The 21,884-nt window shown below is 47.7% G+C and overlaps 1 protein-coding gene across 7 annotated transcripts, besides 13 other annotated features; it reads left to right on the forward strand.

The window, feature by feature from the left end:
• Positions 2,162-2,221: an enhancer, noted in NCBI's record as "active region_10751". NCBI's record gives its function as "activates an Ori minimal core promoter by ATAC-STARR-seq in GM12878 lymphoblastoid cells {active_cell/tissue: GM12878}" and the evidence as "EXISTENCE:reporter gene assay evidence [ECO:0000049][PMID:35858748]".
• Positions 2,513-3,273: an enhancer, noted in NCBI's record as "NANOG-H3K27ac-H3K4me1 hESC enhancer chr16:31190697-31191457 (GRCh37/hg19 assembly coordinates)". NCBI's record gives its function as "activates a minimal SCP1, AML or CMV promoter by ChIP-STARR-seq in primed H9 embryonic stem cells {active_cell/tissue: H9 hESC(primed)}" and the evidence as "EXISTENCE:reporter gene assay evidence [ECO:0000049][PMID:30033119]".
• Positions 2,732-2,801: an enhancer, noted in NCBI's record as "active region_10752". NCBI's record gives its function as "activates an Ori minimal core promoter by ATAC-STARR-seq in GM12878 lymphoblastoid cells {active_cell/tissue: GM12878}" and the evidence as "EXISTENCE:reporter gene assay evidence [ECO:0000049][PMID:35858748]".
• Positions 2,962-3,031: a silencer, noted in NCBI's record as "silent region_7413". NCBI's record gives its function as "represses an Ori minimal core promoter by ATAC-STARR-seq in GM12878 lymphoblastoid cells {active_cell/tissue: GM12878}" and the evidence as "EXISTENCE:reporter gene assay evidence [ECO:0000049][PMID:35858748]".
• FUS (FUS RNA binding protein) lies at positions 3,247-18,008 on the forward strand. Of its 7 annotated transcripts, none has more exons than XM_011545781.2 (15): positions 3,247-3,364; positions 5,535-5,559; positions 5,650-5,801; positions 6,995-7,139; positions 7,346-7,527; positions 8,076-8,316; positions 9,939-9,973; positions 11,462-11,494; positions 12,260-12,363; positions 12,802-12,931; positions 13,177-13,278; positions 13,412-13,535; positions 13,879-13,979; positions 14,100-14,247; positions 14,536-18,008. In XM_011545781.2, exons 1-15 carry the CDS (start codon positions 3,352-3,354, stop codon positions 14,573-14,575), a joined length of 1,575 nt encoding a protein of 524 aa, XP_011544083.1. In that variant the 5' UTR covers positions 3,247-3,351; the 3' UTR covers positions 14,576-18,008. The 7 variants fall into 7 exon arrangements, 6 of the variants coding, with proteins under 6 accessions (XP_011544083.1, NP_001164408.1, NP_001164105.1 ...); NM_001170937.1 differs by having other exon boundaries at positions 7,346-7,521; NM_001170634.1 differs by having other exon boundaries at positions 6,998-7,139; positions 7,346-7,533.
• Positions 3,274-4,035: an enhancer, noted in NCBI's record as "NANOG-H3K27ac-H3K4me1 hESC enhancer chr16:31191458-31192219 (GRCh37/hg19 assembly coordinates)". NCBI's record gives its function as "activates a minimal SCP1, AML or CMV promoter by ChIP-STARR-seq in primed H9 embryonic stem cells {active_cell/tissue: H9 hESC(primed)}" and the evidence as "EXISTENCE:reporter gene assay evidence [ECO:0000049][PMID:30033119]".
• Positions 3,672-3,821: a silencer, noted in NCBI's record as "silent region_7414". NCBI's record gives its function as "represses an Ori minimal core promoter by ATAC-STARR-seq in GM12878 lymphoblastoid cells {active_cell/tissue: GM12878}" and the evidence as "EXISTENCE:reporter gene assay evidence [ECO:0000049][PMID:35858748]".
• Positions 3,942-3,991: a silencer, noted in NCBI's record as "silent region_7415". NCBI's record gives its function as "represses an Ori minimal core promoter by ATAC-STARR-seq in GM12878 lymphoblastoid cells {active_cell/tissue: GM12878}" and the evidence as "EXISTENCE:reporter gene assay evidence [ECO:0000049][PMID:35858748]".
• Positions 4,036-4,796: an enhancer, noted in NCBI's record as "NANOG-H3K27ac-H3K4me1 hESC enhancer chr16:31192220-31192980 (GRCh37/hg19 assembly coordinates)". NCBI's record gives its function as "activates a minimal SCP1, AML or CMV promoter by ChIP-STARR-seq in naive H9 embryonic stem cells {active_cell/tissue: H9 hESC(naive)}" and the evidence as "EXISTENCE:reporter gene assay evidence [ECO:0000049][PMID:30033119]".
• Positions 4,222-4,311: an enhancer, noted in NCBI's record as "active region_10753". NCBI's record gives its function as "activates an Ori minimal core promoter by ATAC-STARR-seq in GM12878 lymphoblastoid cells {active_cell/tissue: GM12878}" and the evidence as "EXISTENCE:reporter gene assay evidence [ECO:0000049][PMID:35858748]".
• Positions 4,342-4,401: an enhancer, noted in NCBI's record as "active region_10754". NCBI's record gives its function as "activates an Ori minimal core promoter by ATAC-STARR-seq in GM12878 lymphoblastoid cells {active_cell/tissue: GM12878}" and the evidence as "EXISTENCE:reporter gene assay evidence [ECO:0000049][PMID:35858748]".
• Positions 4,502-4,551: an enhancer, noted in NCBI's record as "active region_10755". NCBI's record gives its function as "activates an Ori minimal core promoter by ATAC-STARR-seq in GM12878 lymphoblastoid cells {active_cell/tissue: GM12878}" and the evidence as "EXISTENCE:reporter gene assay evidence [ECO:0000049][PMID:35858748]".
• Positions 4,562-4,651: an enhancer, noted in NCBI's record as "active region_10756". NCBI's record gives its function as "activates an Ori minimal core promoter by ATAC-STARR-seq in GM12878 lymphoblastoid cells {active_cell/tissue: GM12878}" and the evidence as "EXISTENCE:reporter gene assay evidence [ECO:0000049][PMID:35858748]".
• Positions 5,418-5,918: an enhancer, noted in NCBI's record as "H3K4me1 hESC enhancer chr16:31193602-31194102 (GRCh37/hg19 assembly coordinates)". NCBI's record gives its function as "activates a minimal SCP1, AML or CMV promoter by ChIP-STARR-seq in primed H9 embryonic stem cells {active_cell/tissue: H9 hESC(primed)}" and the evidence as "EXISTENCE:reporter gene assay evidence [ECO:0000049][PMID:30033119]".

The raw sequence follows: 21,884 nt of genomic DNA on the forward strand, positions 1-21,884 counted from the left end.
ATCACGTCACTGCACTCCAGCCTGGGTGACAGAGTGAGACTCCATCTCAAAAAAAAAAAAAAAAGAAAGAAAGAAATGGCCATTTGATTTAGTCTTTCAGAGTCACATATTTTTTTTTTTTTGAGGCCGAGTCTCATCTGCCACCATGCCCAGCCCAGAGTCACAGCTGGAGCCTGAACTCTGCCTCAGTGTCTTCCCCACTTGTGCCTTTGTCTTCGCGGTTCTGCCTATTATAGCCTTTCCTCCCTTGCTGCTTGGCAAACTTCTACTTATCCAGTAAGCCTTGGCTTCAGGGTTACCATCTCTCTTTAGTGTTCTGTGGTTGTCCACCTGATGGATGACTTACTCTGCTGGCAGGGTTTCCAGTCTTTGATTCCATGTGATGGCACTTACTACACTCAAGTACACTTTGTGGTCTGTGTGTCTCACCCACATTCACCCACTGGCTGGTCCTGTGGTTTAGGAACTGAGCTTTTTTTTATCCATATCCATCCAGTCGGCCCCATGATTGGAACATACTATGCAGTGCTCAGGCAATGTTTGCTGAAGCGCAGGGGTTAAGAGCAGGCTACCTGGCTTGGGAACCCAGCTTTGCCACTTCCTGTGTAGCTTCAGCATAACTTTCCGTCTTTCTTTTTTTTTAGAGACAGAGTCTTGCTCTACTCTATCATCCAGGCTGCAGTGCAGTGGCGCGATCTCGGCTCACTGCAACCTCTGCCTCCGGGGTTCAAGCAATTCTCCTGCCTCAGCCTCCTGAGTAGCTGGGACTACAGGTGCGCGCCACTATGCCTGGCTAATGTTTGTATTTTTAGTAGAGACGGGGTTTCACCATGTTGGTCAGGCTGGTCTCGAACTCCTGACGTTGTGATCTGCCCTCCTTGGCCTCCCAAAGTGCTGGGATTACAGGCGTGAGCCACCGTGCCCGGTCAACTGCCTGTCTTTCTATGCTTATTTCCTCATCTGTAAAATGTCATCCTTAGCAGGGCGTGGTGGCTCACACCTGTAATTCCAGCAATTTGGGAGGCCAAGGCAGATGGATCATCTGAGGCCAGGAGTTCGAGACCAGCCTGGCCAACATGGTGAAACCCCGTCTCTACTAAGAATACAAACATTAGCTGGGTGTGGTGGCGCACACCTGTACTCCCAGCTACTTGGGAGGTTGAAGTTGTAGAATCACTTGAACGCGGGAGGCACATGTTGCAGTGAGCCGAGACGGCGCCCCTGCACTCCAGCCTGGGTGACAGAGTGAGACAGTGTCCCCCCAAAAAAAAAAAAGATAAAATGTCATCCTCACATCAGCCTTTTGTTGTGAAAAATAAAATCAAGAGTTTACTCAGTCAGAACAGGGCCTGACAGTAAGTCTTGTTAAAGTGTTAGCTATTACATATTATAGATGAGCACAATGTATATCATTATTAAATGTCAGCTTTATTATTATTATTTGTTTTGAGACAGTCTTGCTCTGTTGCCCAGGCTGGAGTGCAGTGGCACGTCTTGGCTCACTGCAACTTCCGCCTCCTGGGTTCAAGCGATTCTCCCATCTCAGCTTCCTGAGTAGCTGGGATTACAGATGCGCGGACGACGCCTGGCTAATTTTTGTATTTTTAGTAGAGACGGGGTTTCACCATGTTGGCCAGGCTGGTCTCGAACTCCTGACCTCGTGATCCACACGCCTCGGCCTCCCAAAGTGCTGGTATTACAGGCGTGAGCCACCGCACCCGGTCAGCTTTATTATTAAATGTTAACTTCATCTGCTTTGTACACGAATGCATACCCAGTGCCCAGAACAGTGCCTGGAACATACTAGGTGCTAAATAAATATTTGTGACTTAATGCATGAATAAGGGTGGACTTCCTTTCTTTTGCTCTCACTGGAGAGTTGAACTCTCCTTCCAAAGGCGGTGGGGTGGATATTGGCATATTCAGGGCCTTTAGGGCTGAAGTCAAGGGCTTAGTGGGGCTTAATTTGTGGGCGGGCCCAGGGCATGGCCCTCATTGTTTCTCTAGAAAGACGTGTCCAACCCTCAAAGGACCTTCTGAAATCCCGCTGAAAGGTTAAGTTGGGAAGGAAAACCTGCATGCCTATGTATCAGGAATTAACGTCTTTTGTCTTGTTTTATTCAGTAGTTTCAAATTGCCTTCTCCAGGCAAGGCTGATGAAAGTGCAAGTTGCAAGTTAATTTGAATGTTTCTTTTTGCTTTTGCTCTCACAGGAAGTGAAAAGGCGACCAAACACTCTAGCATTCATGCCACCAAAAAGAGGAGTGTTTTGCAGTTACAAGACCTGGATTCGAATCACGACTCCTCTTAGCTGCCCTGTAATCAGGCACAATTACTTGGGTCTCTGAGTCTCACTTTCCTTATCTAGAAAACGGAGGTATCTTTACTTCCTTCGTAAGACTGATGACAAGGAAATTATCTGTGCATTTTGAAACCACTTAAGCCTTGTACACGTTTTATTTCTGGGATCGCCCTGGTAGGGCTTCAGAAAAATAAAAAGGAGGTCCCTGAGAAAAGGCTGGGTACCGTACATCTGAGGTCAACCCTCTCTGGTCCCAAGGATGGCCTGGGCTGTTCCGCCCCGTGGCTCCCCAGGGGCAAAGCCATGAGGATCCGGGTGAGAGCCCAGTGCTGGACGAGCCCGGGGCCCAGGGGTCCCGGCCGAAATCCCTGCTGTCTTTCAGGTCAAACGTCATAATCCCCGAACCCCAGAAAGGCCGAAAGGCAAGGCAACCCTGAAAGACGACGAAGTCAACCTCAGGGCGCAGGAGAGGGAGGGCCAGTGTGCTGCCGACGAGGGAGGCTGGAGCCGCGGGGACGAGGCGCCCCATACAGCGGCAAGAGGGTGGAGGGCAGGAGCTCGCCATCCTGGGTGAAAGCGGGGCCCAGCGAAGGGGCCCGGCCACAGGAATCTCGGTTCCACCCCGCTACTCCCGGCTGTGACTCCAGTTTCGTCCCCAGCCGCCGGGACCGCCCCCTCGCCCCGCCCCCAGCGGGCACTCAGGCCGTACCACTGTGCCTTCATGGGGGTGGAGATAGATCGTGGGCTAGTCCTGCCGAGGAGAGAGGGGTTCTTCCTCAAAAAATATGATTATGTATAGTATTCGCATGATTCTAGTTAACTTGTTTCCCTTCTGCCTGCTCGGACCCTCTACCTGCCCTACGAAGGGGGCGGAGTGCGTTCCTGCCTCCCCCTGCTCTTCCGCGTTTGGTGCGCGCCTGCGCGGTGCGTAGGCGGCGGAGCGTACTTAAGCTTCGACGCAGGAGGCGGGGCTGCTCAGTCCTCCAGGCGTCGGTACTCAGCGGTGTTGGAACTTCGTTGCTTGCTTGCCTGTGCGCGCGTGCGCGGACATGGCCTCAAACGGTAGGTAAGGGCGCGAGGCGACGGCGGCGGCGCACCCGGCCGAGGCCTCCCAGCTGGGCTTTTCGTTTTCAGTGGGACCGGGGCGGCGATCCCGTGTGGGATTTTTTGGCGCCCCTGTGGCGGGAAGCCGCGGAGAAGAGTAACTGGAGGAGGCTGGTGTCGCCATTTTGTTTCGCTCCTCTGGCCCTCGCGCGCGGGGCGGGAAGTCTTTTCTTTGCAGTCCGTTTGCTTGGGGTGGGCGTTGGGAGGGACGCTTCTTAGGGGTTTGAAGCGTCAGGTGAGGGTGGAAAACGCCCATTCTCCGTGGCCTCGCCTCCCCCAACTCCCGGCCCCGCGCTCGAGCCCGCTTTGTCGCAGTGCTGCATCCGGGCACTCGCGGCGCGCACGCGCTCTGCGGGCCCCTCCCCCTTCGCGGCGCGGGTACCCCTTCCCCGCCTCGTGTTGGTTCAGCTTTCTGTCGCGAGACCCTTCGCGGAAGACTCGGCGGCGCGCGTCCGGTGTGAGCCTTGTCCCTCAGTGGTCCTTCGCGAATGGGCGGGATCGCTCCGTTCCCGCCTGGGTTGCCACGCGGCTGGGGGCGGAGGCTCGGGATCGGGGCCGCCCTCTAGCTTAACGGTTTGGCGGCGGTGGTCAGGGTTCGACCAACGGACTTGGGGACGGCCCGAGAGTTTTTCCCGCCTAAATTTCTTTCTTTTTTTTTTTGGAGACACGGTCTTCCTCTGTCGCCCAGGCTGGAGTGCAGTGGTGCGATCTCAGATCACTGCAACGTCCACCTCCTGGGTTCAAGTGATTCTTCTGCCTCAGCCTCCTGAGTAGTTGGGATTATAGGCGCCCGCCACCACAGCCCGGCTAATTTTTGTGTTTCTTAGTAGGGGCGGGGTTTCACCATGTTGGTCAGGCTGGTCTCGAACTGCTGACCTCAGGTGATCCGCCCGCCTGGGCCTCCCGAAGTGTCGGGATTACAGACGTAAGCCAACCACGCCTGGTCTAAATTTCTTTTTTCTGAGATAGGGACGGAGAAGAACGGCCGCCCGAGGCCACACCCTCTCCTGGTCCTCTTTCCCTTTTCCTGCGGGGGAAGCGCCGCGTTTCCTGTGCTGGGAGGATGAGTTGATCTTGTTCGTGTATCTTAAGTGGGGCTTTTCAAAAGCGCTTTTGTTGCTTTTTGTTCGCTGGGGGAAGGCAGGGTAGGTGAGAAAACGGAACCATCTGGAGTCCCAGGGCTGGGGACTCGAGTACCTGTTGACTTTCGCCTCCTAAGGCGAGCAGTTGCATGATCTCTGTCATTTGGGGTCCAAGGGCTCTTTTGATTCTCTGGCTTTGCACTAAAAAGCCCACTTCATCTCCGGGATTGGTCAAAGAGTGAAGAATGGCCTTTTTTGAGACTTTCTTATTCTGTGGGTCTGGGCTGAGAGAGCAGAGGCCACAATCTGAACACTGTTCGAATTCAAACCTGTGCCACTTTGGTAGTTCTGCGACGTTGGGAGAGTTAGTCTCTTGACTCCTGGCGATAATGGCTTTCTCATAGAGTGGATGAAACGAATGCGCGATGTTTTAGAGCAATCACTGACATGAATTGGGCTTGCAGAAAATTGTGGATGTCCACCAAGACCTTGGTTTTTCCAATGGTTAAGGCTTCTGGGACTCTGTAGAAACTTGCATTTTCTTCACTTTTTCTTTATTGTAAGAACACTTGGCTGATAACGCCAGTTTGTTCCTCTTCTCAACCAGTGTCTCATGGAGGAATTTTATGCCCTTTGTTGCAACATGGTCCTATTTTTATTTTTTTTTTTGAGATGGAGTCTTGCTCTGTTGCCAGGCTGGAGTGCAATGGCTCACTGCAACCTCTGCCTCCCGGGTTCAAGCGATTCTCCTGCTTCACCTCCCGAGTAGCTGGGATTACAGGCGTGCGCCACCATGCCCGGCTAATTTTTTGTATTTTTATTAGAGATGGGGCTTCACCATGTTGGTCAGGCCAGTCTCGAATTCCTGACCTCAAGTGATCCACCCACCTCGGCCTCCCAAACTGCTGGGATTACAGGCATGATCCACCGTGCCTGGCCTACGTGGTCCTTTTTATTCATCAGTGCTTGAGTTAAGGAATTTAGCTTTAATTCAACTCTTTCAGAGTGGCAGCTGAAGATAATGTGATTGTATTTTTCTTTTGCAGATTATACCCAACAAGCAACCCAAAGGTGAGTGCTATTTTTGGGCTTCCAGAGTTTGTAGAGGGCAAGGGTGGTCACGCCATGTTTTCTGATCACGCTGGTTTTCCTTTTATTTAGCTATGGGGCCTACCCCACCCAGCCCGGGCAGGGCTATTCCCAGCAGAGCAGTCAGCCCTACGGACAGCAGAGTTACAGTGGTTATAGCCAGTCCACGGACACTTCAGGCTATGGCCAGAGCAGCTATTCTTCTTATGGCCAGAGCCAGAACAGTGAGTCTTTCTCAGCGGGTCACCTCTTCCTACTCTTTCTGAATATTGCTTTTCTTTTTCTTGTTTTTTGGAGACGGAGTCTGGTCCTGTTGCCCAGGCTGGAGTGCAGTGGTGCTGTCTCAGCTCACTGCAACATCAGCCTACCGGGTTCAAACGATTCTCCTGCCTCAGCCTCCTGAGTAGCTGGGATTACAGGTACCTGCTACCACGCCTGGCTAATTTTGTGTTTTTAGTAGAGATGGGGTTTCACCGTGTTGGACAGGCTGGTCTGGAACTCCTGACCTCCTGCCTGCCTTGACCTGCCAAAGTGCTGGGATTACAGGCGTCAGCCACAATGCCCTGAATGTTGCTTTTCTTAAACCTGAGCAGCACTGAGATGTTGAAACTGTTCCATATTTCTTTTCCGTGAAACAGTGTATAAGTCTTAAAACTTTTTGGGATCTGAGTCCTTTACAGGGCATTGTGGCACACCTGTAGTCCCAGCTACTGAGGAGGCTGAGGCGGGAGGATCCCTTGAATTCAGGAGTTTGGGGCTGCAGTGAGCTATGATGGTGCCTGTGAACAGCCACTGCATTCCAGCCTGGGCAGTGTGTTGAGGCCCCATCTCAAAAACATAAAAAAAAAAACAAAAAACAAAAATGTTTATTGGTTTGTGATTCTGTTTCCATTTATTTTCTTTGGCTTTTAATTTTTTTGACTCTTCTTATTTTCCATCAGCATGAAAGAGAGCATATTTTCTAAAGGAAGAACCAGTTTTAGGCCAATTCTGAAATGGAGAAAATGGTTTTGTTTGAAAATGTATGAAATCATGTGATACATAAGGAGGTGGGATTTGCCCCAAGGTCCTGAAGTGTAACTAAGAAAGGTGGTTGTCCTGTAGATACTGCACGCACAGCTGCATATTACAGTGCTGTTAACAGGGATCCTTGGGCCTGGGTTTAGAGGGTGGTGCTGGAGATGGTGTTGGGATTGGCGGGGTGAAATTGGAACTGTACTAAAGAGTTGGTAGAAGTTGAAGCATTAAATTTAGGCTTTGAAAGGAGGGTAACTATCTTTGCCTATGAGTTGCAACATCACTAACAGCTTCTGAGAGGCTGGCTTTATGAGTATAGGTATTATGTTTTCTTTAACCCATTCCTTACATTTTCTCTTTCCTGGTGGCTTTTGTGACTCCCTTTTTCTTATCCTGGTAGCAGGCTATGGAACTCAGTCAACTCCCCAGGGATATGGCTCGACTGGCGGCTATGGCAGTAGCCAGAGCTCCCAATCGTCTTACGGGCAGCAGTCCTCCTACCCTGGCTATGGCCAGCAGCCAGCTCCCAGCAGCACCTCGGGAAGGTACGGTGGTGTTGATGTCGGGGAAGGCTTGAAAAGAGGGGTGAATTGATGAGGAATGATAAAGGGACCAGCAGTAGGAGCAGTTCAGAGGTGTAATTGGGGTAGGGGAGCCTGTGTTGGGTACAGAGAATGGACTCCACTAAAAGTGAAAGGAAATTGGGGGCTATGCTGGGATTGTGATTGTGTTTTTTGTTTGTTTTCCCTAGTTACGGTAGCAGTTCTCAGAGCAGCAGCTATGGGCAGCCCCAGAGTGGGAGCTACAGCCAGCAGCCTAGCTATGGTGGACAGCAGCAAAGCTATGGACAGCAGCAAAGCTATAATCCCCCTCAGGGCTATGGACAGCAGAACCAGTACAACAGCAGCAGTGGTGGTGGAGGTGGAGGTGGAGGTGGAGGTGAGATGTCTTCAGCTTTGTCTGCAGCCCATTTTCTTTTTCTTTTTTTTTTTTTTTTTGAGACGGAGTCTTGCTCTGTCTCTGTTGCTGAGGCTGGAGTGCAGTGGCACAATCTCGGCTCACTGCAAGCTCCGCCTTCCGGGTTCGCGCCAGTCTCCTGCCTCAGCCTCCCGAGTAGCTGGGACTACAGGCATCCGCCACCACGCCCGGCTAATTTTTTGTATTTTTAGTAGAGACGGGGTTTCACCATGTTAGCCAGGATGGTTTCGATCTCCTGACCTTGTGATCCGCCCGCCTTGGCCTCCCAAAGTGCTGGGATTACAGGCGTGAGCCACTGTGCCTGGTGTCTGCAGCCCATTTTCTATAAGGATTTGTATTCTCCTGTTTTAGCTTAAAAGAGGGTTCCTGTCTTGTTTCCTAGCTGTCTTTTTACTTTCTTTTGTCCTTCATTGCCTGGCACTTGTCAAACCTTTTCAAACCTTTTAGTGCTACTTTACAATCTTTTTGTTTTTTTTTTTTAATCATTCTTTCTTTTCTCACAGGTAACTATGGCCAAGATCAATCCTCCATGAGTAGTGGTGGTGGCAGTGGTGGCGGTTATGGCAATCAAGACCAGAGTGGTGGAGGTGGCAGCGGTGGCTATGGACAGCAGGACCGTGGAGGCCGCGGCAGGGGTGGCAGTGGTGGCGGCGGCGGCGGCGGCGGTGGTGGTTACAACCGCAGCAGTGGTGGCTATGAACCCAGAGGTCGTGGAGGTGGCCGTGGAGGCAGAGGTGGCATGGGGTAGGTGTCTCATGAGCCAGGGAGTATCTTTGGTGGGGAGTGTGGAGGATTGCATGAATCTCCCTGAAGCCAGTCCCTAGTGCATGGTTTAGTATTCTTGTTGTCTAGGGATCTGTGAGGGCTTTGATTTGGGGGCAGTGACTTTCTTTTTACATCCCCATTTTATTTTTGTGAGAACTTGGGAGCCTGAACTCCCATCCATACCACTGAATAGAGATTTTGAGTAATGATACTTGTTTCCAAAAAAAAAGAAACCATACATAGATACGTATGGATTGGAGTCATTAATATCCTAGGCAAGAAACATGGAAGTGAAGACTTCTTTCTCTGCAAGGGAAACCGATGATCCCACTCCTGGGAAATAGTAGGGAAACTTGGTATGTGTATTCCCATGTGTCCTCTAGGGAGTTGGTAATGGTTAACCTGACTTCAGCTTCCAGGAATTGGCTACTCTTCCCGTTTTCTATAGTCATTTGAATCCACGAGCTTGATTTGCACTAATTTGACCGACATTGATTTTGTGTGTGACTTGGTTTATGGGGCCAGCTGACTGAAGTAAGCAGACCTTTTGGGCAAAAATATGCTTTGACAGTGGTCTCCCACCTATTTGTTCCACTGTCTGCCTTCCCCTGGTTACTTAAAATTCATCAGCTTGTCCAACTGGACCTTCTTTCCTTCCTGCTGAAGTTGATTTGAAGTAAAACCTTAGATTTGATGTTAAAACAGTTGTCAAATCTGTTGGTAAATAAGATTTGAAGGACCCTACTCTGTCTCCCTTGAAAAAGGGGAGGAATGTCAGTGTTACTGTTTTTGGAAAAAGTAGATTTTTAAACCGAGTTTGGAAATGGTAAGTATGCAGAGGTGGGTGGGGGCAATCTCAAAAACGTGCAAAAATGAGGAAAACAAAAATGAGGAAATGTGTGCGTGTGTTTAATGCAAAACTTTAAAAAGAAAAACAACTGTTATGTGACTGTTAACTTGCTCTGCATTTTATGTGCCACAGGTATGAAAGGTGACATTGCAAAATACTCCGCTCTTCTCGCAGTGTAGAAGGGGTGACCCCGGGGGTTGGGGGAGATCAAAAACAGCTCAGTAGTTAGGACAGAGCTTAGCTAAGTTTGTCTTGCTTTAAGGGGAAGTTGCCTTTGGTTTTGACTTTTTATGGAATGGGGTTGGGTCTGCTTGCTGCTTTCAAAGCAAAAACCACAAAAATGTGTTCAAGGCTACCCCAGCCTGGTGTGAAATGTCTTCTGGGTAAATTGGGGTAGGGTTTTTAAACCAACTACTTGGTTGTCAACCACTTGCGACAAGAGGAAAAAAAAACATCTGCTCCATCGGAAGAACGACCAAGGAAAATGGGTTATTTTTTTTCCAGAGGAAATAGATAACGTAACCTTTTAAAGCAAAATCTTTATAAACTGTGTCTGAGAAATTGCACACGTGTGTGTGACATGCTCAAAGGTCAGACAAGGGGTGGTCAGGAAGGGATGTATTTTAGTAGCCACTTGTATCTTTTTCCAAAAACACCTACCCATGTTTGGGGAATGTTAAACAAAATCAAAAAACAACCTTTTGTAGCCGTTGGAAGCTTCATGTCCTTTCTTCTAACTTGTCTTCTCCAGCGGAAGTGACCGTGGTGGCTTCAATAAATTTGGTGGTAAGTGAACAGAGTTTCCAAAATTCCCAACTCCCAGCAATGCTTTGTCTGATTGTTCATTTGCAGATGTCTTAGCGTGTTAATTTAAATGTCAAAGGTTTTGAGGTGTCCAGAACCACCTCCAGAAAGGGGTAGGGTAGAATGCCACCTGTTGCCTGGTGTGTGCTAACCTGGAGCAGGTAGGGGTAAGACTCAATAGTCATCTTTTACCAAATGGGTTTGCCCCAGGTTAATAAGAGGGGTCTAGTAGGCCTTGGACTGGGCCGTTGCCACACCTGGCACTTAGTGACCATCATCATGAGAAACTGGAGAGTGCGTGCTGGAACACGTGGTGCCATCTTGGCTTTAGGATCCTTTTGATCGTTGTGTCCAAGGCTTGTGTGTGTGTGAGTGTGTGGGAGACAACTCCGAATGTTTAATTCTGGAAGAGGGATGTAACATTGCCCTGAGGATGGTGAAGTTGGTATACATTTATAAAGTACGGAATGGTGTCAATGAATGCAATTCTATGTATATGGACTTAACTGAGATGGGCAAATAGAAACTAGCTCTGGGAAGGAACATGTGCACTACTTCAAGAAAGATTGGAAGCATGTGTGGCTCATGGGAAATAACCAGGTCTTAAACAGCACAAACTGAATTCGTGGACCAGGAAGGTCTTAAACAGCACAAACTGAATTCATGGAAAAATGACAAATTTGAGAAGTCTCCCAGTAAGCTGGAACTTTTCTGGTTTGGTTAACAAAAGGTTTCTTGATTTGTTTCAAGATTTAAAGCCAAAGGTGTGGGTTCATGACTTAGGTGTCATTGCGTGTGGGTACAATATTTATATATGGCGAATTCAGATAAACATTGGTCAAAGATGGTCTCTGGAAAAACAAAATAGAGGCTGCATTACGGAAATAAGATTTCTGGTCTGTTCCCTGGGACATGCTTAAAAAATACAATAGCTATTATGTATGGTTTTTATTTTCATGTGGTTTCGGGGAAACAACACGGTTTTAAGGATGGTTTCTAAAGATGAAATTAAAAATTGTTCCACAAGGGTTAAGTGTCTGGTGGTAAAGTTGGGAGAAACTGGATGGATGCACATCGCATGGCTGGTGGCGAGCCCATCTCTCTTCTCTCGGGTGAGAGAACCGGGCCAAGCTGAGTTGGTTTGTTCACTTTAATGGGTCTCCGTTTCCCCTGCCACCTGTGCTGAGGACATTTCCCAGCCTGAGCTGGGGGAGGCAGCATTTGCTGAAGTGTGGAGTTGTCTCTGTGGAGACTCAAGTTACAGATCTTAAGGGGCCTGCCTAGAATTTTCTCCTCTGGGCAGGCGACCCAGGAAAGGGTTTGGAGTGAGGCTGTGAGCACTTACTTGATATTTTACAAGTTTGGATTTGGTGTTAATTTTTTTCCTTGTCCGTTTTTTCCTGTTGACTAACGGCTCATCTTTTCCTTGTTTTTGTTTTTTTTTTGTTCTTTTTTTCCATGTCACTAAAGGCCCTCGGGACCAAGGATCACGTCATGACTCCGGTGAGTTCACACGTGGTGGCATGAAAAGAGTGGCTAAAGTGGTATCAAGACTGCCTGGATGTTCTTTGAAACTATTATAAAAAGGAAACTGAAAAAAATGGGGATAGAGAAGGAAGGGAGTTAGGTGTGTCCTTAGTTAGCAGTGAGAAGTATTTGTTACGAAGTATTTCTCAGAAATACCTGGCTTGTGGGTTCCACCCCCAGTGATTTAGGTCTGAGAGGACCCTGAAAATCTACCTTTCTAACAAGTCCCCAGTGATGCTGATGCGTCTGGACCACACTCAGATGGTTTACAGCAGTGGTTCTTTCAAAATGTGGATCATGTCCAAGTTGGTGAACAAAACTAGTGAAAGACCTGACCACATGAAGTAAAGCATTGAACTCCTGTTTAGGTTGTATTGATGTTTGTGTACTAGATTTGAATGTAAAATGGGTTTCTTATTTAATTCGGGGACCTTCAACTGAAAGTTGATAAATACTGATGGACTTTTCTGTGTGGTCTTGTTGGGCATTTCACTCCTGAGCCCTGGTTTCCATACTGTATACTGGGTGTTAACATGTTTCAAAGGATAATTGTCAAACTGAATCTGAAATTTATCAGCATGGCTGGCATATAGGGACTCAAAAGGGATGTGGATTTCTTTTTAGTTGTCTTCCATAAACCAAATGATACCAGTTGCTTGATGGATACTAGGTGCTTTAGGTTTTTTCCTGTGTTTTTTATTTTACCTTTTCACATTTGCATTTTCTCTGTTCAACAAGCAGAACAGGATAATTCAGACAACAACACCATCTTTGTGCAAGGCCTGGGTGAGAATGTTACAATTGAGTCTGTGGCTGATTACTTCAAGCAGATTGGTATTATTAAGGTACTTGTGGAGAGGAGTGGGAGCTTTCTGTCAGTGTTGTAGGCTTGTGGATTTCACACATTAGTAAAAGCAAGTCTTTAATGGTTGCCAGCAGTAAAAACAAGTCTTAGTGGTTGTTGCCAGCTTAATTTGTTGAGGAAAGAGCCTTAGTTACTGTTTTCTAAAAGAGAAGTTCTATCTTAACACAAAAAGTATAACTTATCAGAGTACCCTAAACTCTTGAGATTTGTACTCTATAGTAACTTTTAGTTTTATCTTTCAATATTGGAGTGAGAGACAGTTTTCTTTAATGGAGGTTTACATGTGAGGTAGGAAGAAGTAACTGGGAAGAGGGGAGCTGAAGTTTGGGAATTATAAACCTCATGTTCTAGAGGAAGAAGATGGAAAGGGAGTACTGTAGCCTTTAAAATTGATGTTACCTCATTTTGCTTTCTTCAGACAAACAAGAAAACGGGACAGCCCATGATTAATTTGTACACAGACAGGGAAACTGGCAAGCTGAAGGGAGAGGCAACGGTCTCTTTTGATGACCCACCTTCAGCTAAAGCAGCTATTGACTGGTTTGATGGTATGTATGAGAAGGCTGGCAGAGGTGGGGCTGGGGATATAGGGCAGCAAGCCTTAGGAAACAAGCCATAGTTTGAGGGTTCTTTTGAGTCTTCCAACACTTACTTTAGCTGCGGTTTCAGGTAGTCTCATTTTTGCTTATGTGTCAGCAGATTATAAACCATTTGAGAAAGGCACGCTTCTCTTGTATTTTCGGATTAATGTGTCTTGCATTTAAAGTCTGTTGATGATTTTTTGTTTCTCTAGGTAAAGAATTCTCCGGAAATCCTATCAAGGTCTCATTTGCTACTCGCCGGGCAGACTTTAATCGGGGTGGTGGCAATGGTCGTGGAGGCCGAGGGCGAGGAGGTGAGGAGCTACCTGCTAGTGGTGCAGAGGGGTAATGGGGAGAGTGCAGAAGATGGTAAAGGCTTGCATGGAATGGGTTAGATTTACCAAACTTGGAGAGGGAGCAGACCCATACTTGGTCTATCTGCATTAGGACCCATGGGCCGTGGAGGCTATGGAGGTGGTGGCAGTGGTGGTGGTGGCCGAGGAGGATTTCCCAGTGGAGGTGGTGGCGGTGGAGGACAGCAGCGAGCTGGTGACTGGAAGTGTCCTAATCCGTGAGTGAAACTTAATTTTTTTCTTAGTTCTCTTGCATGCGTGCTCTTTGATATATTGGTACTGAGGTATGTGCGTGTTTTCCAAAGAAGTAAATGTCAAGGCCACACTGTTGGGGTCAGATTTAGCCAAAAGCTTACCTAGGTAAGGTTGATGTAATGGGAAAGGTAATGGATTGGGTTCAGTAATACTGATTTTTGTTCCTGACTCTGAGAAGCAAGCCGTTTTGTCTTTCTGAAGCTTCAGTTTCCTCACTGTATCTCTAAAGTCACCGTAGTTTCTTCCTAGTTCTAGGTCTTGCCTATTCCCCATCGCTCCAGACTGATTGTCTTCCTTTCTCCTTAGCACCTGTGAGAATATGAACTTCTCTTGGAGGAATGAATGCAACCAGTGTAAGGCCCCTAAACCAGATGGCCCAGGAGGGGGACCAGGTGGCTCTCACATGGGTAAGAAAGGCAGACCTGGTGCTAGGGAGCTGGGACCAAAGAATCCTTAATTTTTCAGCGGGGAGGCTCGGGGAACATAGGGGAATGGGAATATGATAGATCTTGTTTCTTTTGTCCTAGGGGGTAACTACGGGGATGATCGTCGTGGTGGCAGAGGAGGCTATGATCGAGGCGGCTACCGGGGCCGCGGCGGGGACCGTGGAGGCTTCCGAGGGGGCCGGGGTGGTGGGGACAGAGGTGGCTTTGGCCCTGGCAAGATGGATTCCAGGTAAGACTTTAAATCAGAATAAAAAAGTAGAGCAGTTGAACAGAGGCCATAGGATAACAGGGTTTTGTTGAGAAAGTGGTTTCATTTTGAGGGCTAGGTGGAAAGACCTGAGGTTGTAACCAGTAGTGGAGAGGGAAGGAAAATTAACTCAGGGGGAGTGAATCTGTAGACCCACTTGAGATAAGATACTCGCTGGGTTAGGTAGGAGGGGCAGATAGGATATCTAGGCTTGGAGAGGCTGGTAACTCAAATATAATGGATACTTAATTTTTTTTTTTTTTTTTGCAGGGGTGAGCACAGACAGGATCGCAGGGAGAGGCCGTATTAATTAGCCTGGCTCCCCAGGTTCTGGAACAGCTTTTTGTCCTGTACCCAGTGTTACCCTCGTTATTTTGTAACCTTCCAATTCCTGATCACCCAAGGGTTTTTTTGTGTCGGACTATGTAATTGTAACTATACCTCTGGTTCCCATTAAAAGTGACCATTTTAGTTAAATTTTGTTCCTCTTCCCCCTTTTCACTTTCCTGGAAGATCGATGTCCCGATCAGGAAGGTAGAGAGTTTTCCTGTTCAGATTACCCTGCCCAGCAGGAACTGGAATACAGTGTTCGGGGAGAAGGCCAAATGATATCCTTGAGAGCAGAGATTAAACTTTTCTGTCATGGGGAAAGTTGGTGTATAAATGAGAAATGAAGAACATGGGATGTCATGAGTGTTGGCCTAAATTTGCCCAGCTATGGGGAATTTTTCCTTTACCACATTTATTTGCATACTGGTCTTAGTTTATTTGCAGCAGTTTATCCCTTTTTAAGAACTCTTTGATCTTTTGGCCCTTTTAATGGTGAGGCTCAAACAAACTACATTTAAATGGGGCAGTATTCAGATTTGACCATGGTGGAGAGCGCTTAGCCACTCTGGGTCTTTCACAGGAAGGAGAGTAACTGAGTGCTGCAGGAGTTTGTGGAGTGGAGTCAGGATCTAGGAGGTGAGTGACTCCCTTCCTAGCTGCCCTGGTGAACAGCGCTTGGGTAGATACCTGCTATAAGGAGACTGGTCTGGCTGGGTTACTTTCACATCCTGCCTGTACTCAGAGGGCTTGAGGTCATTGACATTATGAGATTTTAGGCTTGATCCCTTTTTGATTGGAGGGTGGAAGGCCCTCCTAAGGGAATGATAAGTGATAAGAGGGGGAAGGGGTTGCAGCCAATGAGTTAAAACCTTAGAGCAGTGCTCCTCAGCCTCTTACCATGTGGTTGTAAACTTGCACGTACCTGCCAACCAGTTATTTAGCATGCTTTTTATTTTAGTTACACAGAGCGTAACATTAACCCAAGAGCAGAAAGGTTTTATTTACAGGGTTTTCGAACTTGGTTTGTAAGACAGCTGCCATCACAAGCATAGCTTACAAATGTGCTGGGGACCCCTAATTGGGAAGTGCTTTCCTCTCAAATTTTTATTTTTTATTTTTAGAGACAGAGTCTTGCTCTGTCATCCAGGCTGGAGTGCAGTGGCGTGATCTCGGCTCACTGTAGCCTCTGCCTCCTGAGTTTAAGCGATTCTCCTGCCTCAGGAGAATCCCAGCTTCTGAGTAGCTGAGACTACAGGCGTGGGCCACCATGCCCACCTAGTTTTTGCATTTTTAGTGGAGGTGTGGTTTCACTGTGTTGGCCAGGCTGGTCTCTTAACTCCTGACCTCAGGTGATCCACCTGCCTTGGCCTCCCAAAGTGCTGGAATTACAGGCATGAGCCGCTGCATCTGGCCATCCTCTCAAATTTTCAAGTGTTCCACAAGTATGTTCTCTACTGAAGAGTTGCTGCATCCTTGAATCTTGGGTGATTTGAGGCACAGAAACTATGACTTTATTTTTTGAGATGGAGTTTTGCTCTTGTTGCCCAGGCTGGAGTGCAATGGCACGTTTTTCGGCTTACCGCAACTGCCGCCTCCTGGGTTCAAGCGATAGCTGGGATTACAGGCATGCGCCACCATGCCCAGCTAATTTATTTGTATTTTTAGTAGAGACGGGGTTTCTCCATGTTGGTCAGGCTGGTCTCGAACTCCCGACCTCAGGTGATGTGCACACCTCAGCCTCCCAATAAACCATGACTTTTAAGAGGAATAGCAGGTTTACTTCCCCTGCCAGCATTGGGGTGCTCTCTAAGCAACAGTAGGCGGAGAGTGGTCTGGCGTATTAAAAACAAAGGATCGTCAAGTGGGCCTTCCCAGGCATTGCTTTGACTTAGTACATGTAGAGGATGTGGCAGTTCTCTCCGTCCCTGCCACTGCTGGTTTCTTTGTTAAATGTTTAGTTGAAATGGCCTGATACGATATTTGAGTAGTTCACTGTTGGTGCTTTGCCTAGCAGGATTCTAATCTTGCTTTGGTTGTGGTCCCCTGATGCCCTCCTGTTAGGAGTGGAGGAGGTCGAAGCTCCTTGTAAGATATGATTACTGGGACCATTAGTGTCAAGTTCCTGTGTCCTTCAAATGGCATATGTGATTGGCCTTGACCTTAAAAGGAAATAGGGTCCCAGGTGACTGTTTAGTGGGTAGGTCCAGTTTGGGGGGATCTTCCAGGAGAATGGATAGAGACACCTAGCAGCAGAGAGAACATTGGTGCCTCTCAAGCCAACCTCCCACCTCAGCCTCCCAAGTAGCTGGGACTACAGGTGCTTCCTCGCTACCACACCTGGGTAATTTTTTTTTTAATTACTTTTTTTTTTTTAAGAAACAGGGTTTCACTGGGTTGCCCAGGCTGGTCTTGAACTGGCCTCAAGTGACCTGCCTGCCTCAGCCTCCCAAAGTGCTGGGATCACAGGTGTGACCCACTGCGTTTGGCCAGAATACTCTATTCTTACTGAATGATTGAAATCTGTCTTGAAGCATTAGGTGTCCCATTTTTGTGAGTTGGAATTGGGACAGGCTAAGTAGGAAGTGAGGAGGGTGGGGAGAGCTGTGCTGTAGGTCTGTTTGTCCCTTCCTTGATGTAGCCTTCAGTTAGCCCTTTCAGCTTTTTTCCCCATCTTGTGCCGGGCCTTCCTGGGTTTCAGTACTTGGATGTAGGGCTGCAGTTATGTCAGTGGTGGGTAGATTGACCAGGAATTAAGGTCTAGGGTCCAGCCCATGTGAGACTTGACTCACTGATCTACCTTTAGGCATGTCTTCCTTCCAGTCTCATCCTTTTTAAATTTTTTTTTTTTTTTTGAGACGGTCTCACTCTCACCCAGGCTGGATTGCAGTGGTGTGATCTCGACCAACTGCAACCTCTGCCTCCCACCCGCAAGCTATCTGCCCACCTCAGCCTCTGGAGTAGCTGGGACGGGACTACAGGCACCTGCCACCATGACTGGCTAATTTTTTTTTGTATTTTTTGTGGAGATGGGGTCTTGCCATGTTGCTCAGGCTGGTCTGGTCTCAAAACTGCTCTGGGCTCAAGTGATTGTCCCACTTTGGCCTCCCAGAGTGCTGGGATTAAGGTGTGAGATACTGTGTCCGGCTATGAAAATTTTATTTTTAATTAACTTGTATATATTTATGGGGTACAATGTCCTATTTCTGTACATGTACACATTGTGGAATCAAATCAGGCTAATATATCCATCACTTCATATCATTAGCATGAATGAGAACATACAAAGCCACTCTTAGAAAATTTTGAAATTTATGTTATTTCAGCCCTTTTATGCTGGAGGTTGCAAATGTTTTGTGAATAATCAGACCAAAAATAAAAACAAAAAATGATTGACTTCAGTCATTCAGTAAGAATAGTGTGTTCTGGCCGAGTGTGGTGGGTCACACCTGTAATGGAGCACTAGGCGTAAATGGGTTGAAACGGGTCTCCCTATGTTGCTCAGGCTGGACTTGAACTCCTGGGCTTAAGTGATCTTCTTGCCCTTAGCCTCTCAGCTGGGACTATGGATGCATGCCACTGTGTCTCACGTTTTTATGAACTGTAGTCACCATGCTGTGCAGTGGCTTACCAGAACTCATTTCTTGCATCTGAAGTGTTGTACCCTTTGTCTCCCTGCTTACCCATACCTCCAAGCCTCTGGTAACCCCCATTCTACTTTCAGTTTCCGAGTTTGACTTTCTAGATTCCGTGTATAAGTTCATGCAGTCTTTCTGTGGCTTATTTTAGCATAATGTCTTCTAGATTTATCGATTCACCCATGTTACAAATAACGGTTTCCTTTTAAAAAGCTGAATAGCATTCTGTTGTGTCTACATACCACATTTAAAAATCCATCCGTTAATTGGGCACTTGGGTTGCTTGCATATCTTGGCTAGTGTGAATAACGCTGCATTGGGTGGGAGTGCAGACATCTCTGACGTACAGATTTCTTTTTTCTTTTTTGGAGACAGAGTCTTGCCCTGCCACCCAGGCTGGAGTGCAGTGGTAGGATCTTGGCTCACTGCAACCTCTGCCTTCCAGATTCAAGTGATTCTCCTGCCTTAGCCTCCCAGGTAGCTGGGATTACAGGTGTGCACCACCATGCCCAGCTAACTCTTGTATTTTTAGTAGAGATGGGGTTTCTCCATGTTGGCCAGGCTGGTCTCAGTGGGCCCCAGCGATCCTTCCGCCTCGGGCTCCTGAATGACTGGGACTACAGGTGTGCTACTGCACCTGGCTATTTTGAAATAATTTGACTTAGAAGAATATTTCTACAATTGTGTTCACCTTCTTATGCAAATACAATCTTCAGTGGCGCTGGCATATACAAGCTGAGAAAGTATTGTCAAGTGGGTTGTGCCAGCACATCTGACCAGGATTTTTTGTTGTAGAAATATTGGATCCTCACCTGAGGCCAGGAGTTTGAGACCAGCCTGGCTAACATGGTGAAACTCCGACTCTACTAAAAATACAAAAATTAGCTGGGCGTGGTGGCAGGTGCCTGCAGTCCCAGCTGCTCGGGAGGTTGAGGCAGGAGAATCGCTTGAACCCAGGAGGCGGAGGTTGCGGTGAGCCGAGATCGCGCCGCTGCACTCTAGCCTGGGCAATGAAGTGAGACTCTGTCTCAAAAAACGAAGTATTAGATCCTCAATCTCAAGGTATTCTAAGAAATTTTGGAGACCATTGAGTCTAAAATTCCCAGTATCTTTGAGGCAGGAACAGACTTGGAGAATGTAGTTTATGAGCAGGAGTTTGGAGCTGGAAGAAATACTGCTTTCTGTTGGTGGTTAATGCTGTCAGCTCCTTGGATTGTGGCTTTAGCCCTAAATATTGGGGCAGTAGAGACTCTTACCTGGAAAACAATTGAGGGCCACCCATGTTAGCGGCAAGAGGCAGAGGAAAGCTTGGATGGTTGGGCTGAAGATGGTGGATGTGCTGTCCCTGTGAGAGTGCTGATGCTGGACTCTGGAGCCAACGACAAAGTGTTTGAGCAAGCAGGGTCCAAGCAAGGGCAGTCGAGGGCCGGATGAAGTGGGCAGGAACCGAGTTTCCCAGGTGACATCCTGCCTGTGCTCATCACGCCGAGGGGTGTTGCACAATCACACCGATTCTTTGTCACTACTGAGTGCAGTGTTCTTAAGAATGGGGACCTGGCAGCTGGGTGCGATGGCTTGTGCCTGTAATCCCAACACTTTGGGAGGCTGAAGTAGGCAGATCACGAGGTCAGGAGTTTGAGACCAGCCTGGCCAACATAGTGAACCCTGTCTCTACTAAAAATACAAAAAATTAGCCAGGCCTGGTGGCAGGCACCTGTAATTCCAGCTACTCGAGAGGCTGAGGCAGGAGAATCGCTTGAAACCGGGAGGTGGAGGTTGCAGTGACCCAAGATCGTGCCATTGCCCCCTGGCCTGGGCGACAGTGCGAGACTCTCAAAAAAATAAGTAAATAAATAAAAGGAGACCTAGGCTTGTTGTGCTTGTTTTTTGGTTTTGATTTTCCAGAGTTTGAGGGAAAGTTGACCCATCCTGTTTATTGTGCCCTTGAGGAGGAAACAAGGCAAATCCCTACTCTTGTGGGCAGGGGTGCGCAAACCTGTCAGTCTGAGATGGCTAGAACCACATCCTCTATAACTTGAGGGGGATAATCTATCTATCTATCTATCTATACCTATATATATACACACACACACACAGATTAAAAAAAATATATATATATACAGAGGAATCCTCCCTTACCTATGGTTTCATCTTACACAGTTTCAGTACAGTATAATAATCTCCTGTGCTTAATTTATAAATTGAACTTTATAATTTGTCAACATATGGATTCTAGCTCAGTAGGTCCAGGTGGGGCTCAAGATACGCATTTCAGGCCAGGTGCGGTGGCTCATTCCTGTAATCCCAGCACTTTGGGAGGCCGAGGTGGGAGGATCACTTGAGCCCAGGAGTTGAGACTAACCTGGGTAACAGCAACATTTTGTCTACCAGAATTTTAAAAAATTGGGCGCGGTGGCTCACACCTGTAATCCCAGCACTTCGGGAGGCCAAGGTGGGCAGCTTGGCCAACATGGTGAAAGCCCACCTCTACTAAAAGTACAAAATTTAGGCAGGTGTGGTGGCATGCACCTGTAATCCCAGCTACTTGGGAGGCTGAGGCAGGAGAATTGCTTGAACCTGGGAGGTGGAGGTTGCAGTGAGCTGAGATCATGCAACTGCACTCAAGCCTGGGTGACAGAATGAGACTCCATCTCAAAAAAAAAAAAGTGTGGTGGCATGTACCTGTGGTCCCAGCTGGAGAGGTTGAGGCTGCAGTGAGCTGTGTTCCCACCACTGCACTCCAGCCCGCAGGCCTGGGAAACAGAACAAGACTGTCCCCCTGCCCTCCCCGCAAAGCATTTCTGACAGGCTTTCTGGTGATAATGATGCTGTTGGTTCAACACCTCTCAGAGTAACGTTCTAGAGTTTGGCAGAGTCAAATTATTTCTGAAGGGGAACTTTGTACAAAACTTTCATCTTTCTCCCTCTCTCACCCCCCTGTTTTATTTTTTTGAGACAGGGTCTTGCTCTGTGGCCCAAGCTGGAGTGCAGTAGCATGATCACAGCTCACTGCAACCTCCAATTCCTGGGCTCAAGTAATTCTCCCACCTCAGCCACGGTGGCTCGGACTACAGGCATGAACCACCATGTCCAGCTAATTTTAAAAATTATTTTGTGGAGATGAGGTCTCACTGTGTTGTTCAGGCTGGTCTTAAACTCTTGAGCTCAAGCAATCCTCTCTGCTCGGCGTCCCTAAGTGCTAGGATTATATTTCTATATAAAATGCTGGCTAGGAGCTAAGGAAAAGGAAGACAGGGCCCTGCGTGTGGGTTTTTGTAATTAGCAGAGGCCCAGTCAACACTGGCTTCTGTTCTGTTTTTTTTTTTTTAAGTCTTGTGAAGCTTAAATGGGAGGTTTGAGCAAAAAAGAGGATGCTGTCCTCTTTGTGGGATTTTTGCTGGTGTGGGGAGATCTGGACCATCATGGAGGGAGTTCTCAGCACAGGGATGGGATTTGGTTCCTGCAGGGCCTCAGAGAAGCATGGGAAAGCCCTTCAGGTGTTAGGGGAAGGTGATTTTGAGTTGTTCCTTCACTTTGTTGAATGTCTCTGAAATCCAGTTCTGGGGCTTGGCAGGAATGTTGCCGCTTGCAGTGGCTGCCGTTCAGCTTATCTGGGATGTGTCCCAAGATGCTGGAGTTGTCTGGGGCCATCCA

Source organism: Homo sapiens, chromosome 16 (assembly GCF_000001405.40).
Source record: "Homo sapiens chromosome 16, GRCh38.p14 Primary Assembly".
Taxonomy (NCBI): Eukaryota; Metazoa; Chordata; class Mammalia; order Primates; family Hominidae; genus Homo; species Homo sapiens.